Below are 22,206 nucleotides of genomic sequence, written 5' to 3'. Positions count from 1 at the left end.
AAGCCTGGCAGAGCACAACAAAAAAAGAGAATTTTAGACCAATATCCCTGATGAACATTGATGTGAAAATCCTCAATAAAATACTGGCAAACTGAATCCAGCAGCACATCAAAAAGCTTATCCACCACAATAAAGTCAGCTTCATCCCTGGGATGCAAGGCTGGTTCAACATACGCAAATCAATAAATGTAATCCATCACATAAACAGAACCAACGACAAAAACCACACGATTATCTCAACGGATGCAGAAAAGGCCTTCAACAAAGGTCAACAGCCCTTCATGCTAAAAACTCTCAATAAACTAGATATTGATGTAACATATCTCAAAATAATAAGAGCTATTTATGACAAACCCACAGCCAATATCATACTGAATGGGCAAAAACTGGAAGCATTCCCTTTGAAAACCGGCACAAGACAAGGATGCCCTCTCTCACCACTCCTATTCAACATAGTATTGGCAGTTCTGGCCAGGGCAATCAGGCAGGAGAAATAAATAAAGGGTATTCAATTAGGAAAAGAGGAAGTCAAATTGTCCCTGATTGCAGATGATATGATTGTATATCTAGAAAACCCCATCATCTCAGCCTAAAATCTCCTTAAGCTGATAAGCAACTTCAGCAAAGTCTCAGGATACAAAATCAATGTACAAAAATCACAAGTATTCCTATACACCAATAACAGACAAACAGAGAGCCAAATCATGAGTGAACTCCCTTTCACAATTGCTACAAAGAGAATAAAATACCTAGGAATCCAGCTTACAAGGGATGTGAAGGCCCTCTTCAAGGAGAACTACAAACCACTGCTCAATGAAATAAAAGTGGGCACAGACAAATGGAAGAACATTCTATGCTTATGGATAGGAAGACTCAATATCGTGACAATGGCCATACTGCCCAAGGTAATTTATAGATTCAATGTCATCCCCATCAAGCTACCAATGACTTTCTTCACAGAGTTAGAAAAAACTACTTTAAACTTTATATGGAACCAAAAAAGAGCCCAAATTGCCAAGACAATCCTAAGCAAAAAGAACAAAGCTCGAGGCATCACACTACTTGACTTCAAACTATATGACAAGGCTACAGTAACCAAAACAGCATGGTACTGGTACCAAAACAGAGATATAGACCAATGGAACAGAACAGAGGCCTCAGAAATAACACCACACATCTACAATCATCTGATCTTTGACAAACCTGACAAAAACAAGAAATGGGGAAAGGATTCCCTATCTAATAAATGGTGCTGGGAAAACTGGCTAGCCATATGTAGAAAGCCAAAACTGGACCCCTTCCTTACACCTTATACAAAAATTAATTCAAGATGGATTAAAGACTTAAATGTTAGACCTAAAACCATAAAAACCCTAGAAGAAAACCTAGGCAATAGCATTCAGGACATAGGCATGGGCAAGGACTTCATGACTAAAACACCAAAAGCAATGGCAACAAAAGCCAAAATTGACAAATGGGATCTAATTAAACTAAAGAGCTTCTGCACAGCAAAAGAAACTACCATCAGAGTGAACAGGCAACCTACAGAATGGGAGAAAATTTTTGTAATCTACCCATCTGATAAAGGGGTAATATCCAGAATCTACAAAGAACTTAAACAAATTTACAAGAAAAAAACAAACAACCTCATCAAAAAGTGGGCAAAGGATATGAACAGACACTTCTCAAAAGAAGACATTTATGCAGCCAACAGACACATGAAAAAATGCTCATCATCACTGGCCATCAGAGAAATGCAAATCAAAACCACAGTGAGATACCATCTCACACCAGTTAGAATGGCAATCATTAAAAAGTCAGGAAACAACAGGTGCTGGAGAGGATGTGGAGAAACAGGAACACTTTTACACTGTTGGTGGGACTGTAAACTAGTTCAACCATTGTGGAAGTCAGTGTGGCGATTCCTCAGGGATCTAGAACTGGAAATACCATTTGACCCAGTGATCCCATTACTGGGTATACACCCAAAGGATTATAAATCATGCTACTATAAAGACACATGCACACATATGTTTATTGTGGCACTATTCACAATAGCAAAGTCTTGGAACCAACTCAAATGTTCATTAATGATAGACTGGTTTAAGAAAATGTGGCATATATACACCAAGGAATACTATGCAGCCATAAAAAAGATGAGTTCATATCCTTTGCAGAGACATGGATGAAGCTGGAAACTATCATTCTCAGCAAACTATCACAAGGACAGAAAACCAAACACTGCATGTTCTCACTCATAGGTGGGAATTGAACAATGAGAACACGTGGACATGGGGCGGGGAACATCACACACTGGGGCCTGTGGTGGGGGAAGGGATAGCATTAGGAGATATACCTAATGTAAATGACAAGTTAATGGGTGCAGCAAACCAACATGGCACATGTATACCTATGTAACAAACCTGCACGTTGTGCACATGTACCCTAGAACTTAAAGTATATATAAAAAAAACTTTCACATACCAAAAAATGGATTCAAAACCTCATCTCAGTCTGAAAAAACAAAAGTAAGCCTCAAGACCTAATTAAAAATATATATATGAAGCAAAGGAAACGCTTGAACACTGTTGGTAAATTAGTACAGCCATTGTGGAAAACTCTATAGAGGTTCCTCAAAAAAATAAAAATAGAACTACCATAGATCCAGCAATCACCCTTCTGGTGATTTAGCCAAAACATTTGAGATCAGTATGTGAAAGAGGTATCTGCACTCCCATGTTCACTGTGGCATTATTCACAATAGCCAAGATATAGTATCAACCTAAGCGTCCATCAACAGATGAACGGATAAGGGAAATGTGGTACATATATACAATGGAGTACTATTAGCTTTAAAAAGAAGGAAATTCTGCCATTTGCAGCCACACGGATGGAATTGAAGAACATTATGCTAAGTGAAATAAGCCAGGCACAGGAAGACAAATACCACATGTTCTCACTTACATGTGGAATCGAAAACAAGCAGATGGCTGGGCCTGGTGGCTGATGCCTGTAATCTCAGTACTTTGAGAGGCTGAGATGGGAGGAACGCTGGAGAGTTAGAGACCATCCCTGGCAACATAGTGATACCCCCATCTCAACAAAAGATAAAAAAAAAAATAGCCAGGTGTGGTGGCACAGGCCTGTGGGCCCAGCTACTCCGGAGGCTGAGTCGGGAGGATTGCTTGAGCCTGAAAGGTCGAAACTGCAGTGAGCCAGGGTCACGCCACTGCACTCTAGCCTGGGTGACAGAGTGAGACCTTATCTCAAAAAAAAAAAAAAAAAAAAAAAAAAAAAAAAAAAAAAAAAGGGAAAGGGAGAGGGGAAGGAGGGAGGGAAGGGAGCAGAGGATAGAATGGCAGTTACTAGAGCCAGGGGTTAGGGAAAATTGAAAGGCAATGGTCAAAGGGTACAGAGCCTCAATTAAAAGGAGGAGGAATTTTATTTTCCTTGGAGATATAGTGCACATCATAATAAAATAGTAAATAATAATGTATAGTACATTTTAACATCACTAAGAGTAAACTTCAAATGTTCTCACCACAAAAAAATGAAAAGTTTTGAGGTGATATGTTAATTAGCTTGATTTAATTTTTTCACATTGTATTCATGGATGAAAACAACTCTTTGTACTCCATAAACATATACAACTATAATTTATCAATCTACAATTAAAAACAGAAAGTCCAAAAATGGGTTCCTTAAGCGGGACGTGGAGATGAAAAGTACAACCTGTGCTTTTCTGAGGGGGCACATTTGGGCCGATCTCACGCATATGAGGCTCCCACCCACACAGAGCTGCCTTTCCAAGCCCACACTCAACAGCAACCCCCAGACTGTCCCCTGCTCTGTGTCCCACCCTCTACTGAGGCTGTGGCTGTCCTGCCCTCTGCCGGATGGTCAGCATTCACACACCATATTTCCTGGTTGACATTTCCCCTCTTTTTAACATTTCTGAATTCATGATGACTTTTACAATGGACGCGTATGTTAAGATGGTGGCATTTTTCCCTTCTGAAAAGCTGTTACTGCTCTGATGGTGCCTCTTACAATAACGGTAAAATCCAGAGCCTTAGACTCTAGAATATTCGGTAATCCCCGTGCCCAGCAGATCACGCTGTAGCGAATGACTCATTAAAACACACACACACATGAAAACAGGACACGAGCTTTTTTTCTTTTCATAAATACTGTGGTCTCCAACTGGTCTCCCCCTTTTGCAAATGTGCACAAATAACCACTAATAAACAAATTCCAAGCTCTATTGGGTAATTCCTCTTAAAAAGGAAAAAACTGGGGTAGTCTTGGTTTAAAGTCAGGAGTATTTTGGGTTAGAGTCACAGGAATTAGACTCATGAGTATTTTAGGGAGTGCTTTTTGCCTCCATCTGTAAAAGTATGGATTCTGCAATGAGGTCGGGTGGGGGAAATGACCCCAGCAAGGAGGAGGCTGGGCGATGTGGCTGGACGCAGCTTGCTTAACTTGCCGGCTGTCATTTGCCAGTGCCTGTTGACACCCATCATCTGGGTCCTCTTCACAGGAGCCCTGTACCCACTGTCCCTGTGTGGGAACTGAGTCTCTGGGAGTGAGGTGGCTTACCCATCACCACGCAGCACAGAGGTGTGCAGTCAGGACTTGAACGCAGGTGCATCTAATTCCACACACCCACAGAGATTCCCAGACAGAGGCACAGCGCCCAGGGTGCTTTAACTCAAGATGCAAATGAGCTTTCCTTAAGTTCTCCCCAGTAGACCCCCAGTGCAGAGTTCCCCTCCCTGCTACGCAGTGCTGCCATTTCCACGTTGAAGAGCAATCGCCGGGTGGAGGTTCATTCATGAAACGTTTGTTTCTACCTGTGCCCCCAAAGCTGCGCTGGAAATGGCCCCTTTAACAACAGAACCATCGGCAGGGCTCGCCCCTTTCTGGTGACTTCCAGATATTAAAACAGTGTGGTCACCTCCTGCCATGCTCACCTGGCAGCTCTCAGGAAGTCTTGTGGGGGCGGGGGGACTTACTTTCCAATACCTCGAGCCTTTCCATTGTGGGTGTGGGCCTTCGTGCCAGAACCCAGCCTGGGGCTCTGGGGAAAGGGTCCTGAACAGCCAATGTATTAACAGGGCTGGGGTGAGGCAGCCCGGGAGCAGAGCCCATCACTTCCCAGGCAATAGTGTAAACATCCCAACTCTCCCCATCTCCTCTTCTCTCCCTGAAGCGACTTCCACGTATACCCAGTGCTCCCAGCACGGGGTCCCTGTGATTCACAGCCTCCTGCCACTTCAATGAGCACGCTTTGAAAAGTGAGCCCTCATCCTTCCAGTCTTAATCAAGTGTGCTATGAGCAGGTGGAGGATGACTGCACCAAGCAGGCCATGGCTAAGTGGAGCCAAATATGGTGACTCTGATGGGTGGAATTGTGTTCCCAACTAAAATTCATGTGTTGAATCCTAACCCCGAGCGCTGCAGACTGCAATTTACTAATAAATAGGGTCTTTGCAGGCTGCACCAAGTTAAGATGAGGTCATTAGGGTGGGCCCTAATCTAATGAGACTGGTGTCCTTATAAAAAGGAGATGAGGGCCAGGCGCAGTGGCTCACGCCTGTAATCCCAGCATTTTGGGAGGCTGAGGCAGGCAGATCACAAGGTCAGGAGATTGAGACCATGCTGGCTAACTTGGTGAAACCCTGTCTCTACTAAAAATACAAAAAGTTAGCCGGGCGTGGTGGCGGGCGCCTCTGGTCCCAGCTACTCAGGAGGCTGAGGCAGGAGAATGGCATGAACCTGGGAGGCGGAGCTTGCAGTGAGCCGAGATCTTGCCATTGCACTCCATCCTGGGCGACAGAGTGAAACTCCGTCTCAGAAAAATAAATAAATAAATAAATAAATAAATAAATAAATAAATAAATAAAATAAAAAGGAGAGACGTGGACAGAGAGAGACACACACGGGGAGACTGCCACATGGACATGAAGGCACAGATCAGGATGAGTTTTCAACAAGCCAAGGGATGCCAAAGATCTCCAGAAACCCTCCCCGAAGCTAGAGAGAGGCCTGGAGCAGAGTTTCCCTCCCAGCCCTCAGTAGGACCCCACCCTGCCAGCACCTTGATTTTTGTCTTTCAGCCTCCAGAACTGAGAGACGATCCATTTCTGCTGTTTAAGTCCCCAGGCTGTGGCACTCTGAAACAGCCCTCACAAACCAATACGCCGACCAAACACCCTGGAATCTCCAGGAAAGTTACAATTCCAAGTGTCTAAACCTCAGTCCTCATAAGCTGTCAAAATGTCCCAGAAATTCACATTTCAGCTACAAAATACCCTCTCCCAAGCTGCCTCCTAAACCTCCAAACAGCATGAAAGCTCATTGAGAGATCTAAGTCTTGATTCAGGATTCAGAGAATGAGGCCGTCAAACGTATAGATCCATCTACAAAAGCCTGCCTCATTCAGGGCTCACTTTACCCAGGGGGAAGCAATCAGGTCTTCTCCCGCTCTCCAGACTCCTGTGATGGTGGTGGGGGCTGGACCCACCCTCGGAAGGCAGGCAAATTCCTGCCAGGAGTCAGCTGAGCCGAGCCATCTCTTGCAGAAAGCTCCTAGCCCCGCAGGGGTGAACCGGCTGCTGCTCCCGCGCTGGGAGTGCTGTCCATCCCTCGGTGCTCCAGCAGCCGCCCCTGGGAGGACAGCCCCGTTTGAAGCCCACGTGCAGGCGAAACCCCTTCAGAGCTGGGCATGGGTTTCCAGTCATCGCCACATCACTCTCTGTCTGAACTTGAACATACCTCAAGCTTGCTGGTTGTTACTGGGTCGCAGTAACTAGATTTTCTTGGGGGGTTGGTGTGGGTGGGTGGAAAGATACATCCAGAAAATGAAATGTAATGTTGCCTCTTATTCACCAAGAAGTTTTTCAAGCCAGAAGACCATGGTGTTTTTCGTTGATTGGTATTGCTTGATTTAGATTCGGAAGCTGGGCTCTCCTACAGTTACCCAGCCCTTCACTGGACTGGCTGACAAGGAACCAAACAGCCCTATCAACCTGTGCAATGCTCGAGGGTCAGCCAGAAGCCATGGAGCCCCTAGTCTGAGTGGGGAAAGCAATTCACAGTGGAATGTGCAGAGGTGGCTTCCAGCAAAACCCAACCCACAGTGGCTAGTGGCCCAAGACACGTCACCTGGGCGCTGGGTGAACGGTTTAAAGATGTCACAGTAAAGCCAGCCAAGGGATCAGTTGGACTACATGCAGCATTGTCTGTCTGCAGGGGAGTCCCCTGAGAGTTCCTAGAGACAGACATGTGGCTACCATCTCACCTCCACCACTTCCTCACCATATGACTTCAGGCAACTCCCTCAGCCTCTCTGTGCCTCAGTTTCCTCATCTTCATCTTGCGGTAATGGAGTGCCTGCCTCATAGAGTCATTGAGAAGAGTTGCCTGGAAGAGAGAGCATCCCGCAAGCACACACACACACACACACACACATGCATCCACGCACCCAGGTTGCTAAGTTGTCAGTAACCACAGCCTTTAGGCCATCACAGCCAGCAGGGCCTGAGGATCATCGAGTCCAGAGGAGGAAGGGATGGCCCGAGGGCAGGCCACAGGGGGCTCAGGGCCAGGCGGAAGCCCCCTCCTCTGAGGGGATCCCTGTGCCCTCACACAGAGCCGGGATGCTCCACATCCTTACACTCACAATGTGTCTTTTTCAGACCCCAGAAACCCACATTTCAGGAAAGATGATTTTCTTTAGTACAAGAGGCTCTTATTACAGGAAGGAAACAATTTTAAAATGGCATCTAGAAATGGCCACTTAGGTTAGGTGGGAACAGAGAGACATAATGACCCTCAGTCCTCCACTTTCCCACCCACATTTCTGTGAGGGGTGTGTGTGCGTGTGTGTGTTTAAACACAAGTCTGAGTCACAGAATTTAAAATCTAAGGAAGGGAATTTTCAAGCGAGTCTCATCAGCTCCAGCTCTGTGGGACCCACCAGCTTGTCCTATCTATTTACTTTATTATTCGGTTGTTGGCCAGAGAGATGAAATATGGGATTAGAGAGGAGGTGAGAGACAAAACAATCCACCATGGTGTAAATAAATGAAGAGCCAAATCCTCCGTCCAAACAAAACCGAAGTGGCCTGGCCAGGCCTTCCTCTCCACGCGCTGCCCCGCGCCTCGCCTCCCCTCAACCGCAGGAACATATGGAGTCGGAAAATGCACGTTAACAAAGCGCTGCACGTCGCCAGGCGCTGGCTAGTCCCTGGAAGAGACACAAGCATTTCCCAGCCTCTGCTGAGGGGCCAGATGTTTTCCTCATTAGGTTTTCCTCGGGTAGAAATAATTCTTGCCTGTTTAATGTTCAAGTCAATTAGTAATCACTCTACAAGGCCTGGGAGCTGTCTACTTTCAGTTGCCTTTAGAGATGAAACTCTAAAAACATATCCTAGCACACAGCATCATCTATGAAACATACCTGCCAAAAACGCTGACCCTGGACCCAGCCTGCTGCCAAACTTACCTCCAGTTTACCGGATATACCAAAAGTAGAGGAACAAGCTAAGTGACACCAGGGATAAACAGGCATGCAAATCCAGAATATGGGATATTATCTAAGACAAATTTTCTGGACTCTTTAGTCAACTCCTGAGATTTTTTTTTTTTTTTTAGGTAGCATGCATTATTCTGGAATGAAAGATCAAAGGGACACAACCAAATGCAACGTGTAAACCAAGATTCAATCCTGGTTTTAAAAAGTAAATCAAAACAGTTATAACAGATATTCTTGTGGCAACTGGGGAAATCTGAATAAGAACTCTGTATTAGACTTTGAAATTACCATTGTTTTCTTATGAATGATATCAGTATTCTGGTTATATTGAAGAATGTATTTTTGGATGCAAGCGAAGTATCATAATGTCTACACCTTCGTTTTATTTATTTATTTATTTATTTTCAGAGACAAGTTCTCAGCCTGCCATCCAGGCTAGAGCACAGTGCACAGTCATGGTTCACTGCAACTTCAACCTCCGGAGCTCAAGTGATCCTCCCACCTCAGCCTCCCAAGTTGCTGGGACTACTGCTATTATTTTAAATTTTTTGTAGAGGTAGAGTCTTGCTAGATTGCCCCGGTTGGGCTCTAACTCCTGGGCTCAAGTGACCCTCCCACCACAGCCTCCCAAAGTCCTAGGAGTACAGGTATAAACCACTATGCCCAACCAATAACTTAGTTTTAAATAGCACAGAAAAAAAGATATATAGGCGTCCATGTACACACAAAGATAACTCAGTGATGTTAACATCTTCGCAAATGTGGAAACCACAGATGCTTTCATATTAAACAGCTGGGGAAAGAAAACAAAGAAAAAGAAAACCAAAAGAACAAAAATAGTTTTAAAACTAAAACATAAAATTAAGTTAGGGAAAAATCTATTCTAATTAAAAGCCATGTACTCCACTACTTTGTCTTCTGAAAAGCATAATGGAGAACATACTGCCGGCCAACAAGTATGCATGATAAAACTACTAGGCATGAAAAGAGGAAACAAGAGCATTGTAAAATCAAAATGCAGGGTAGGCCAGGTGCAGTGGCTCACACCTGTAACCCAGCACTTTGAGAGGCCAAGGTGGGAGGATCAGTTGAAAATGGAAGAGAGCCATCCATATACGCACCGATGATGATAGCTCAAAAATCAAGGAAAATCAAATACTGCCCAGTTCCTGTACTTGGTTATATGAATGATGAGAAAATGTTCTCACATTGGTCTTCAGTCCTCTGGATGCTGAACTAAAAGAATTATACCGGGCTGGGCCCGGTGGCTCATGCCTGTAATCCTAGCACTTTGGGAGGCTGAGGTGGGTGGATCACGAGGTCAAGAGATCGAGACCCTCCTTGACCAGCATGGTGAAACCCCATCTCTACTAAAAATACAAAAATTAGCTAGGTTTGGTGGTGTGCACCTGTAGTCCAAGCTACTCAGGAGGCTGAGGCAGGAGAATCACTTGAACCCGGGAGGCAGAGGTGGCAGTGAGCCGAGTTCGTGCCACTCCACTCTAGCCTGGTAACAGAGTAAGACTCTGTCTCAAAAAAAAAAAATATATATATATATATATATACCCATTACAGGATGTTTTAGTTCATTTAGTTATTCATTCCACAAATATTTGCTGAGGGCCTGCTATAGTCCAGGCACATAGACATATATACATAAGTCATGCTATGATGAAATACATAAAGCATGATAAGGGACTTGGGAATACGGAGTCTGACTTTTGGCCAAGGGGCCAGGGTTGAGCTCTTGGAGAAGGTGCCCTCTGGGCTGAGGCTGGAGTGAGTGAGCGAGCCGCCCTGTGTTCCAGAGGGAGGAGTGCTTCTGGCAGAGGAACAGTCCGTGCACAGAAAGGCTGCAGGGCAGGGGTGTGCTCTGCACGTGGGGATTGCAGGACTCACAGCGGCTCCAGCAAAGTGCTACAGGCCAGAGAGGGCTGGAAGCCACGGGAAGCACTTCAGATTTGGTGAGTTGGAAGGCATCAGTAGGTTTGAGAGGAGGAGTGACATGTCTGATCTGTGTTTTTAAAGGTTAAAGCCAAATGATCCTCTTGAAAGAGTAAACCAGAATATTATCAAGTCTATGAAGGCAGGGGTGATATCAAAAACACCGAACAACTTTCCAGACAAGGGCTCTGCCAGTCTCAGCTGACACTGGTCCTTGCATAGAAGCCAGGTGCCAGAGAGCCCACCTGCTGGGGCAAGGGCCAGTTCTGGAGTTCCTGGATCTGGGTGAGGTATCTAAGATCCAGGAGGTCTCAGGGAATGCCTGTTTGCCCATCTGTATGGAAGTAGTTAATATTTTAACAAAAGAATGGGTAAACACACGCACATATAAAGATAAAATGAATATACATAAGAGTCAGTCATGTCTCCATTTAACTGTCTAAAGTAGGTAGAATTGAGTTGGAAGTTTAAGAAAACCCAATCAAGGTCATCAATGAGCAGTTCGACTTCTTCCCCAACTGCCTTTATCCATAGACAATTCATCCATCCATCCATCCATGCATAGAATCCATAGTTTTTAAGTTACTGGCACATGCCGAATACTGTTTTAGTGGAGAGGGTTTATCAGTAAAGACAGGCAACATCATGGCTCTAATGGAGTTTATATTTTTATGTAAATGGACAATCAACAGATACACATCAAGCAAATTTCAGCCTGAAAAAATAAAAGCACTTGATGATAATAAGGTGATTGGGAAGTAGGTTAAATACTTTAGATTCCAGAAAAAAAAATCAGCAAGAGAAAGACAGTAGAATAGAACCTGTTCCTGTTGTATTTCTGGAGAAGCACCTGGCCATGTGGAAGGCTCTTTATGTTGGCTGGAAGAAAAATTGAATGTGGAATGTTATTTAGCCAACAACAAGAATTCATTATATCTGCACGTGGTAACATGAAAGGGTTTCTGCGAGTAGAAACATGTAAGCTGCAGAGAGATCATTTTTGTAAACTCCATGCAGATAGATGCACAGAGAAAGAGCTGGAAGAACCCACACTGCATGGTTAGCACTGGGAAGGAAGAACAGGCTTTCACGTTTTACCTAAGGTATTTGTTCACTGATTATGTTTTAAGGGTATATGCTCATTTTGAAATAAAAAAGGACTTTTCAAAAGATGCACCCAGTAATTATATGCATTGGGGAGGTGACTTAGAGCAGGAATACTGCTGAATAATTTGGTTCAAACATGAAACCTACACAAGACAAAGTCACTTGACAGAGGATGACTCTTCAGATGTTCAGGGAAACTCACGCACTCACTCACACTCGATGCATCGGCCGGGCTCCCTGATGCCCCCAACGCCTCTCCTATGTCCAAGGAAATACTTCTGCAGAGCACGTTAGAGTTTCCAATGCATGTGTGTTATCTCAGAGACAAAGGGCAGAAAGGGGAAAAAACAGAAAGTACAGTACGGTAAGTCTCAAATTTCAGCATCCTGTTGTCTCCATTGAAATAACTTGCCAGGAATTCTAGCGGTTAAATAGTCCAGATCTTTACTACAGAGGAAGATTAGAGACGCTGGCCCGATGAATTCAGTCCAGGCGAATTCTGTTACTGGTTTGCAACAAAAATAACTGGATGGGAAGAGACTGTCCTTGTGTTTTCTCACCCTAGAAAGACCCGCTTCATGTTGGGAGTATTAAAAGCCTGGAGACAAAGGCATCCTGTGCTGATTTTTGGACAGTATTAGAAAACTAACAAGGCGTGCCCTCCCTAAATTCTCCTGGGTAGTGTTGGTCCAAGGGCCTCACCATGGACAGCTGCACACAAAAAACCGGTGGGTGGGAAGCTGGCAGGAGAGGGTCCCAGGGTGAGGGCTCCCTGACCCCAGAGGCTCAGCCTGCGAATCAGGTGACTCAAACTCCTGAAAGACCCTGTAATTTTCAGTTAACTAAATGGGGGGAAAATCAAGATGCAAATCACCTTTCAAGTATTTAATTTAATTAGACAAGGAAAATGAGGCTTCTTGAAAATTCTTACTCGGTATTAACTTCTGCCACAAAGCAGCCGAGAGTAATTGGTAAAAGTGAAAAAGTGATTACCGAGGCTTAAGCTTATTTCTCACAGCTGGTGCACTTTTACAAAGTGAGTTTCATGGTGCTAAACCCTCCACCAGAGCAAGACGGGCCCTGGAGCATGGATTCCAGCCTTTTCATAAGCCACCTCTAATAAGCCATGGTGAGAGGGTGGGTGGAGAGGGGAGCGTGGTAACAGGCAACGGATGTGGGGCTCCTGGCTCCATCTGTTGCCCTGAGTTCCTGGTTTCTCCCCCTGCTGGCTTCTCTGTGATGTGAGGATCACAGTGGGTGGCAGCTGAAGGAGCCCTCGGCTCATGCCTCTAACCCTGGGCAAATGACGCAGCCAGAGTCATACCACCAGTTACCAGCACAGCCAGCCTTCAGTGTCAGCCTGCGTGAGGCCAGGTTAGGCTCTTCTGTCTATTTAGCAAGCTAATCAGGAAGAAAATGGAGCCTGGTCTCATGAGCGCACTGCAGAAGCTGTTCATCTCGAATTCTTCGGCAGCCTCGCTTTCGTGTTACTGCATTAATAATTTTTGTTTATCTTCTTTATTCTCCAGGGGTCTAAACATTTGGAAGGTGGGTTCCTGATCCCATTCCTCCTCCAGGACGGACTACCGTGCATCAGATATAGGAAGCATTGGACATAACAGTTGAAAGAAAGAAAGAAAGGAATCTCTCCATGTCAATAACCAACCTAACTGATGAACTTTAGGAGTCTGTTTTTTCCACCAAAACAGAATAAAACTTCTAAGTAAGGGGTCAACACTTGCAATGCACCAACCTCTGTGCTGAAACTCAAAAACTGAGGAAAAAATAGACTCAGCCCACAAAAAACAATTGAGTGGGTAAGAAGACAATTTTCCTTTTTCATTTTTGAAAAAAAAATTAAAATGAAGGCTCAGAGAAAAATAACACAGTCATGTACTTACTTCCAAAACATGTACATTTCATCAAACTCACTTTCTCCCTCCCAACCCAAAACAGTCAAATAAAATCAATATCATGGCAAGCCAGGACTTGTCTGGGGTCCTGAACCAGTAGGCCAGGGATCTAGCAGCATTTCCCCCTAGAAAAATATTGTTAGGCAAGTTAATAGATATAGAGGTTGGAAAATATGACCATTGAAATCTCTGTGAGGATTCAAAGATCCTAAATATTTTGTTAAGCACATTTGCCTGATGAAAGATTCCTGAACCCCCTCTCCCTTACATCTTGACAGGCTGTGTTCTCATTAAGAGGGGCTACAAAACTGGCCAGGCTTTGGAGCAGGGCAGGCTGGACCCAGCCCTGGGCTGTCTGTAGTAGATGACTGTATTTTGAAGAGAAACTTCGGATGTCCTTTTTCCTTCAGAGTGGTCTGTTTTTCTACTTTCAAAGGGGAATATGTCAAATCCATCAAATTGTATACATTAAATATGTGTGATTTTTTGTATAACACTTATATCTCAAAAAAGCTGTTAACCAAAAATGAGATGGAGTCTCGCCCTTTACACAGGCTGGCGTGCCGTGGTGCGATCTCAGCTCACTGCAACCTTCACCTTCCAGGTTCAAGTGATTCTCCTGCCTCAGCCTCCTGAGTAGCTGGGACTATAGGTGCCGGCCACCACACCTGGATGATTTTTTAAAATTTGTTAGCAGAAATGGCATTTCACCATGTTAGCCAGGCGGGTCTCGAACTCCTGACCTCAAGCAATCCGCCTGCCTTGGCCTCCCAAAGTGCTGGGATTACAGGTGTGAGCCACCATGCCTGGCAGACCACCTCTGTTTTAGTAGGCAGATTCCATGCAGAGATGACTCCATGTCGGTGGTCCCACCAGTGGCTCCAGGACCCACAGTAGCAGCAGCATCTGATGTGAGGCTATGCTCACCTCCTGGCTGATTTATTTTTCTTAATGCCCCCGCAAGAAGCTCAGCTGCATTGAGTGGCTGGGAAAGGATTCGTAGGTGCCATGGTTTCTTTTACTGTTCAGGGGTTACGGGGTGGGTTGGTCAGGCTGCAGCCAGCTGGAGCTGGCAAGGTGTTTTCTATCTGCGATCGGCAATTGGGGCAATGCTACCCATGCTTCTTAGAGACACTTCATTGGCAGGCCGCCTCACGGGCAGTGCCAAGGCACATGCTGGCTGAGGCAGCTAGAGTCATCGTCTCTCCCACCCTGGAGCAGGCTAGGGCTGTCATTATTCACGTTTGGCACACATTATTATTTACAAGCCACCAAATGAGACTGAAGAACATTAACAGCAGGATAACAGAACTACAGGCTACTGGTTTTGTCTGTGCCCAACTGAAATTAAGTAGTTGCAAAAGATAATTGGAGACATGAAGGTCTCGATGTCGAGCCAGCTTGTAGTGTAGCCGGAGAGATTTGTAGTCTTTGTTCACATAACACATGCAGAACTATTCAAGGCCGGCCCATAAAATACAAAGACTCAGTTTCACGTGTGGGTTCTGAAAAATCACTGCATCTTTACTTACATCTCATGGATAAGCAGATAGGTGGCTTTTCTAACATCTCATAGTGACTGTAGGATTTCTTTCTTTTTCTTTTTTTACCTTGTCCTTTCTTTGCTACAAAGAGTCCAAATACCCTCACACAGTGGTTCTAAGTTGGGTCCACAGACCAACAGCACACACCTCACAGTCCAAATACCCTCACACAGTGGTTCTAAGTTGGGTCCACAGACCAACAGCACACACCTCACCTGGGTGCTTGTTAGACACGGAGATTATTATTTTTTATTTTTTGAGACGGAGCCTCACTTTGTCACCCAGCCTGGAGTGCCGTGGCACGATCTTGGTTCACTGCAACCTCCGCCTCCCGGGCTCAGGCAATTCTTGTGGCTCAGCCTCCTGAGTAGCTGGGACTACAAGCACATGCCACCACGCCTGGCTAATTTTTTTTTTTTTTTCTGCTTAGTAGAGATGGAGCTTCATCATGTTGGCCAAGTTGGTCTTGAACTCCTGACCTCAGGTGATCTGCCTGCCTCAGCCTCCCAAAGTGCTGGGATTACAGGCATGAGCCGCCATGCCCGGATAGACGTGGAGATTCTTAAGCCCCACCTGAGAACCGCTGCATCTGAAATTCTGGGGGTAGGACCCGCACTATTTTAAAAAGCGCTCCAGTGGGTACAGATGCTTGCTCACCTGCACTAATGCAGAGAGTACCGTAATTCCACACCCCAGGGATGGCACCGTAATTCCACACCCCAGGGATGGCACCGTAATTCCACACCCCAGGGATGGCACCGTAATTCTACACCCCAGGGATGGCACCGTAATTCCACACCCCAGGGATGGCGTACGTTTTGAATCTGGAAAGTAGAAGTCCCCGGCTCCGCACAGCCCCAGCCCTGATCTCCACCCAGCCCAATCTTCCCGTGCCAGCCCTGCTTCTGTCCTCTCGCCCACCATCTGGGCTCCCACGCGGGCTCCTTCCAAGTGCTGGCACAAATCTGGTCCTTCAGCATAGGTGCTCAAAAAGTATGTGTCGAATGAGCTAGCGGCACTCACCAGGGTCATTTCTAAACCCTCCTGGGATTTCGTGAACATGTGCAGTAAGGAACACCAGGGCAGAACCGAACGGGGGTTAGGCTTGAGTTAGAAGCACCGTGGGACTCCTCTCAGGGTCTGTATCACTTCCAGGGGATAGACTCTGACCTGAAAAATCTCTCAAAGTGCATGTCATGCAAAGATGAGCTTCTACTAAGCAGGCTTTTTATTACTGCCCACTAAAACACAAGGTGATTAGAGTACTTTTTAATTAAATAATTGTTAGATGGAGTAGGAAGTAATGGTATCGGTTAATCTCAGGGTAGGGTTTTTTTTTTTTGAACCCTCTAATAACTTCCTAAACATCAAGCATTTCCATGAAGCTAGCCAAAGTTACTTAATTATAGGCTTCATGAGTAAGTGTTTCTACAGAATTCTCAAAGGCTCCTCATATAACACACGGTTTGGATGTTTCCACGCGGAGCCTATATACATGCTTTTTAAAAATTTTTTTTAGAGACGGAGTCTCGCTCTGTCGCCCAGGCTGGAGTGCAGTGGCACGATCTCGGCTCACTTGCAACCTCCGCCTCGCGGGTTCTAGCAATTCTCCTGCCTCAGCCTCTGGAGTAGCTGGGACTATAGGCGCACACCGCCAAGCCCGGCTAATTTTTTGTATTTTAGTAGAGACAAGGTTTCACCGTGCTGCCCAGGCTGGTCTCGAACTCCTGAGCTCAGGCAATCCACCTGCCTCCGCCTCCCAAAGTGCTAGGATTACAGGTGTGAGCCACAGCGCCCGGCCTGTGCTTTTTTATCTCAAGGCACAAAGCTGTCCAGAAGTGCATGCCACGAGGACTTCAACACCTGGGAGCCAGCCCGGCTCACGGATGAGGCAGCAACCGAACTCAGGTGCCGGCATCCCCACCCTGCCCGGCCACCAGTCACTGCAGGGCCTGGCATCGGTTACATAGTGGCTCTCCTGGGGGTGGGGGCTCCTTCCAGGCAGGTGAGCACACCCTGGTGACCAGAATGTCACAGCTCATCACCAAGACACTCGACGTCGCTGTTGCATCCCCTCACAGCTGTGAGAGTCTCCCTTCAAAGGCCTTTCTGCAGAGGAAGCCAGCCTGGTTATTGCAACATAGGGGCCTGCAAGTCGTCGGGGCAAAGGAGGGCACAGTGGACCGGCAGCAACGCAGCCCCAGGGTCAAGCCCAGCATCGCCACCAGCGGGGAGCCCTCCAGGCTCTTTCAGTCTTGATGTTCGCTCCCCGCCTGGAGGCCCCCTCCTGAGTGCTGACAGACTCTCTCTGCACATCTAAAACAGGGCCCATGTGGAGTTCAGTGAAGAAGCATAAAGAGAGCTGGGGGAGAACTCGGGGAACACGGGGGCAGCCTCCGAACTCACTCAGCCTGAGGCCTCTGAACCCACATGGCCCAAGGTCTCCAAACCCACCCAGCCTGAGGCAGGGCCTCGGGGTGGGGACCTGAGGTCCAGAAGGCAGGAGATGGCAGGCCCTGTGTGGTACACTCAAGTCACCTGACGTCGGCAAGCTCAGCAGAGCAGGCAGATGCTCGGGAACTATCACAGGGGCACCCATGTGCGGCGGCTTAACACTGCTGAGATCACAGGCCCCTTGGACATGGTGACAACGCCACAGACCTGCTTCCTGGGAAGGGTCATGTGTCTCCCCTCAGAGGGGCTTCCCAGCCCTGAATTTGGAGCCCCGAGGAGCATGAACACACACACACACACACACACACACACACACACACACACAAATGAACATACACACACACACACACACAATGAACATACACACACACACACAATGAACATACACACACACACACACACACACACACACACACAGCAGGAGAGCAGGACACATGTCACAAAACAGGCCCATGGGGAGCCAGGAGGGTGAGCTACGCCAGCTCAGGAGCCTGGGGAAGCCGTCCCAGTGAGGGGCCCTGAGGAAGTGGGCAGAGAAGGGAAGACACCCCTCCACCTCTTCACCTGTGGAAATGACCGGAACACCCACTGTGGGGTGGGGAGGGGGCGGTGGTCAGGACGCATGGGAAGGATGTAGGTTAGGAGTGCGTACATGAACAAATCACTGATTCCTTTCCAGTTCTCTCCCTGGCACCAGGGTTAGGACCAGGGGCCTGCCCTCACTCACCAAACATCTGCCAGTCAGGGACCACACACAGCGCCGTGCTCTTTGCTGGGCCGCAAGCCTAAGGCCAGATCCCTGCCTTCCAGGGGGCTTCCAAAGTGGCAGACAAACCAGTTTCCTCATTACAAAGAGGAATTGTGGGGCAACCCTTCCAACCAGGAGTTTCCCAAGGACACAGACAGACCCAAAGGCAAGGAAGGTGGAGGGAAAGGGCACCCTCCCAACTGGAACAGGAACGCCCAAAGAAGCTGGCCTTAGAGGCCACTGCTGTCCTGGGTACAGACTGGGTGTGCAGCAGGATGGAAACTTGTCCTTTGTTCTCCCCAGCCCGCAGACTCACAGACTACACTCCTGCCTGGGCACCGGCCTCTCTGCCACCTCCTCTGGTGGGATGAAAGGGATGGAAAGTCTAGAAAATTCGAGCATAGGTTACTGTAAATCCACAGGCCGTGAACAATGAAGCCCGCCTTGGCCTGCACAATTGTAGCTGATCTCTCTGAAGAGGAGCTACAGGCCCAGCCTTCCCTCCGTGGATGTGGATGAGGCAGAGCTATAGTTTCCTCCCCAGCATGCTTTTTTGTTTTATTTGAGACAGAGTCTCGCTCTGTTGCCCAGGCTGGAGTGCAGTGGCGCCATCTCAGCTCACTACAACCTCCACCTTCTGGGTTCAAGTGATTCTTGCAGCCTCAGCCTCCCTAATAGCTGGGATTACAGGCACCCACCACCATACCCGGCAACTTTTTATATTTTTAGTAGAGATGGGGTTTCACCATGTTGGCCAGGCTGGTCTCAAACTCCTGACCTCAAGCGATCTGCCCGCCTCAGCCTCCCAAAATGCTGGGATTACAGGTGTGAGCCACTGCACCCGGCACCAGCATGCCTTGTACCAGAACCTCATCCCCATTCATCTAAGGCTTTAATGTAAACGCACACACCCCTTGCGGTGGGTGGTAAGCTTATGTCATTTACACATTATAGGACAAATGTATCCTGAGAACAGACTTCACAAGAAGCAGGACTAAAGATGAGTCCTGAACAGGTTGTAGCAAAGCAGCAGCTGCTTTCTAGGCCTCCAGTGCAGGCAGGGCATGGTGGCAGAGCTCTCCTGGCCCCAGACAAGATGCTGTGCCCTCATCTTTGAGGGGCTCCTGGGTAAGGATGCTGCTGCTGTCACCGCTGCCTGTCTCCATCCCAGGCGCCAGGCCCACCTTAGAATCTGTCGTTGGACTGCTGCTGTGTGTCCCGCTCCATTCCTCTCAGGGAAGGCTCTCCTGACAAGGATAGGTAGGAGGCAAGGGCTGTTCATCTCTACTCCACTGGTATTACCCCAGCAGGCGAGGGCTGAGCCACTACACCTCATGCCCTAGAAACACCTGCCAGGGATGGGGCTGGGAGGCTGGGGTGGTGGGGGTGGTGACTTTCAAATCTACCTGGTATTAGGTTTGACAGGAAGTTGCAAAAGAGACATGATCACCTTGTCATTGACATGTGCACTGTAATTTTAAACACAGAACCTGAAGATGCTCTACATATAGTATATTTGAGTCAACAGTTCTGGGATAAAGCATCACTATCTTAGTCTCAAAGGCTGATAAATTAGGATAAACTCTAATGACATGAGTCTTGAAATCAGCACACTGAAATTGGCAATCTTACTTTTTACTTGCCTAATGATTTCACAAACTGATAATTTATCAGCTTCTTATAGAAACGTCAGGAGAAGACTCCACATAAGTAAATGTCAACTGTAAAATGTATACAACCACCCAACGGGTGCTATCAGATACAAGGATATTTATTTCAACTTTATTTTAAGATGAAATATCCAAGTTCTTCTCTCTACTCCTCCCCAAGTCTCTTTTTCTCTTTTCAGTGGAAGCGTGTGTTATAAATGTGAGGGATCGTAAAAAATGATGAAAGGATGGCAGTATATCAATCTCTTAGCTGCCTGTCATGAAAGCTAAAAGAAAAAGCAAGCCAAGTATGCATGCCACTGGCCTGTGTGTGCAGGCTTATGTGTTCAGTTATCCTGCCCACCTCATCAACAGTGGACAGGCAGAGCTGAGAGCGGCAGCATCCTTGCCTAGGAAGTAACTCTTACTGCCACACTCCTGAGGCCGGCGAAGGACACATGGAGTTCCTAAGGGAGTCCTAGAACCCAAGACGTTTCCTTTTAGTCAAGATTATCCGAAAGACGGCTAGGTGCGGTGGCTCACGCCTGTAATCCCAGCACTTTGCGGGGGCTGAGGCGGGCAGATCACCTTAGGTCAGGAGTTCGAGACCAGCCTGGCCAACATGGCTAAACCCTGTACCTACTAAAAATACAAAAAAATTAGCCGGGCATGGTGGTGTGCACCTGCAGTCCCAGCTACTTGGGAGGCTGAGGCATGGGAATCGCTCAAACCCGGGTGGCAGAGGTTGCAGTGAGTCGAGATCACACCACTGCACTCCAGCCTGGGTGACAGAGCGAGGCTCCGTCTCAATTAAAAAAAAAAAAAAGATTATACGAAAGGCATGGTGGAGGCTAAAGCTGAACTCTTGGGTCACATTTTATAGGAAATTACAGGCATTTTATAGATGTGTGGGCTTTAAATCCAGGAAGCATAACATGTGAAATCCTAAGCCTTGCCAACTTCTGCCAAAACGGGTCTCACTCTCTTATTTCTGTCTTCATTACGGGATGATTTCCATTCCGTGGAAAACAACTGATCCAGCAGGAGAGGAGTGACACCAATTCAGGGATGGTGAGGACCAGCTAGGAGCGTAAGAAGGCCTGGCTTTCCCACCTGCCCAAGGAAGGGTTTGGACAAGGATTCACTTGAAAATCTGTGGGAGTATCCACAGTGTGAAAGGCACCGTGCCAGGCAGGTACTAAAGAGGGCAGAAATGGTCAAACAAGGACCGAGTCGGCCAGGGCTTTCCTATGTAAGAATGATACCACCCATGACGTATATGAAACACTGGAGAAAAAGCAACATGGAGTAGAGATGGGGCGGGGGCTGCATGTCAGTCCCCATCCAGCTTCACGGAGAGTGCTGTCCAAGCACAGCTGGAGCCTGCACGGATACTCCAGCGAGCCGCAGGTGCCTGGGGGCAGCTCTGAGTCAGCCATCCAGAGTGTGGCTTGCCCTGCCTCCTTTGGGGGCTCGTAGCGCCATGGGGGCTCAGGGAGGGAGAATCCTGACTGATACAATTCCTGGCAACCAGAATCCAGTGGTCTCTGCTGAAGGTCTTAGTGCCCATACGAGACCAGTAGCTAGGTTCCACTGCCAGGTGACGCTGACAGCAGGGAGGCTGAAGGGAGGCGGCGGAGGGAAGAAGGAAGAGCCAAAGGCAACAGTGGCAGGAATTAGGAGGGACATACTTACCTGAGACTTAAAGCTATGAACGACCTGGCCCCCGTTTCCTTGGAGCCTTGAAGGAACAAAGTTAACACGCTAGGGACCAAATGCCACATGCCACTGAGGCCCTAGAAAATGGATTCTGCTGGCAAATACTGTTCAAGGGTCAGGCAAACAAGACCCAGTGTCTGTCTTCAAGGAACTCTCTGCCCAGTGGACTCATAGCAAATGACTTAAGAGCGCCAGTTAAACCAGGAAGAAATGTAATTTGTTCTCTGGCTCTACCCAAGATGGGAAATGGCTGTAGCCAACTAATGAGGCATTCTTCCAAAATGATAAGCTATATTTCTACCCAGGTAAGGCAGAGAAAATAAGCCATTTGGGAACTCTAAAATCAGCACACTAAAACAACCTCATGAGGCTGAGCCTACACCTTGTACACAGGCATGTACCTCACTAAAGGGTTAAGTGACCAGAATTAAGAGAGGGAAAATCTAGAAGCTCTCTAGAGAAATCTAAAATGGTCATGTACAGTAAGTCCATGCCCCACAAGTGTTCTTTTTTCTGGTAAAGAAAAAGAAAACTAAGAAGTGACCTGACCTAAAACTATCAGAGGAAGGAAAGCAACATTAACTCAAAA

General features: G+C 47.0%; 1 annotated feature.

Annotated features, from left to right (window-relative positions):
* Nucleotides 6,081–6,580: an enhancer, noted in NCBI's record as "H3K4me1 hESC enhancer chr15:101209681-101210180 (GRCh37/hg19 assembly coordinates)". NCBI's record gives its function as "activates a minimal SCP1, AML or CMV promoter by ChIP-STARR-seq in naive H9 embryonic stem cells {active_cell/tissue: H9 hESC(naive)}" and the evidence as "EXISTENCE:reporter gene assay evidence [ECO:0000049][PMID:30033119]".

Source organism: Homo sapiens, chromosome 15 (genome assembly GCF_000001405.40).
Source record: "Homo sapiens chromosome 15, GRCh38.p14 Primary Assembly".
Taxonomy (NCBI): Eukaryota; Metazoa; Chordata; class Mammalia; order Primates; family Hominidae; genus Homo; species Homo sapiens.
This window is presented reverse-complemented; position numbering and strand designations above follow the sequence as displayed.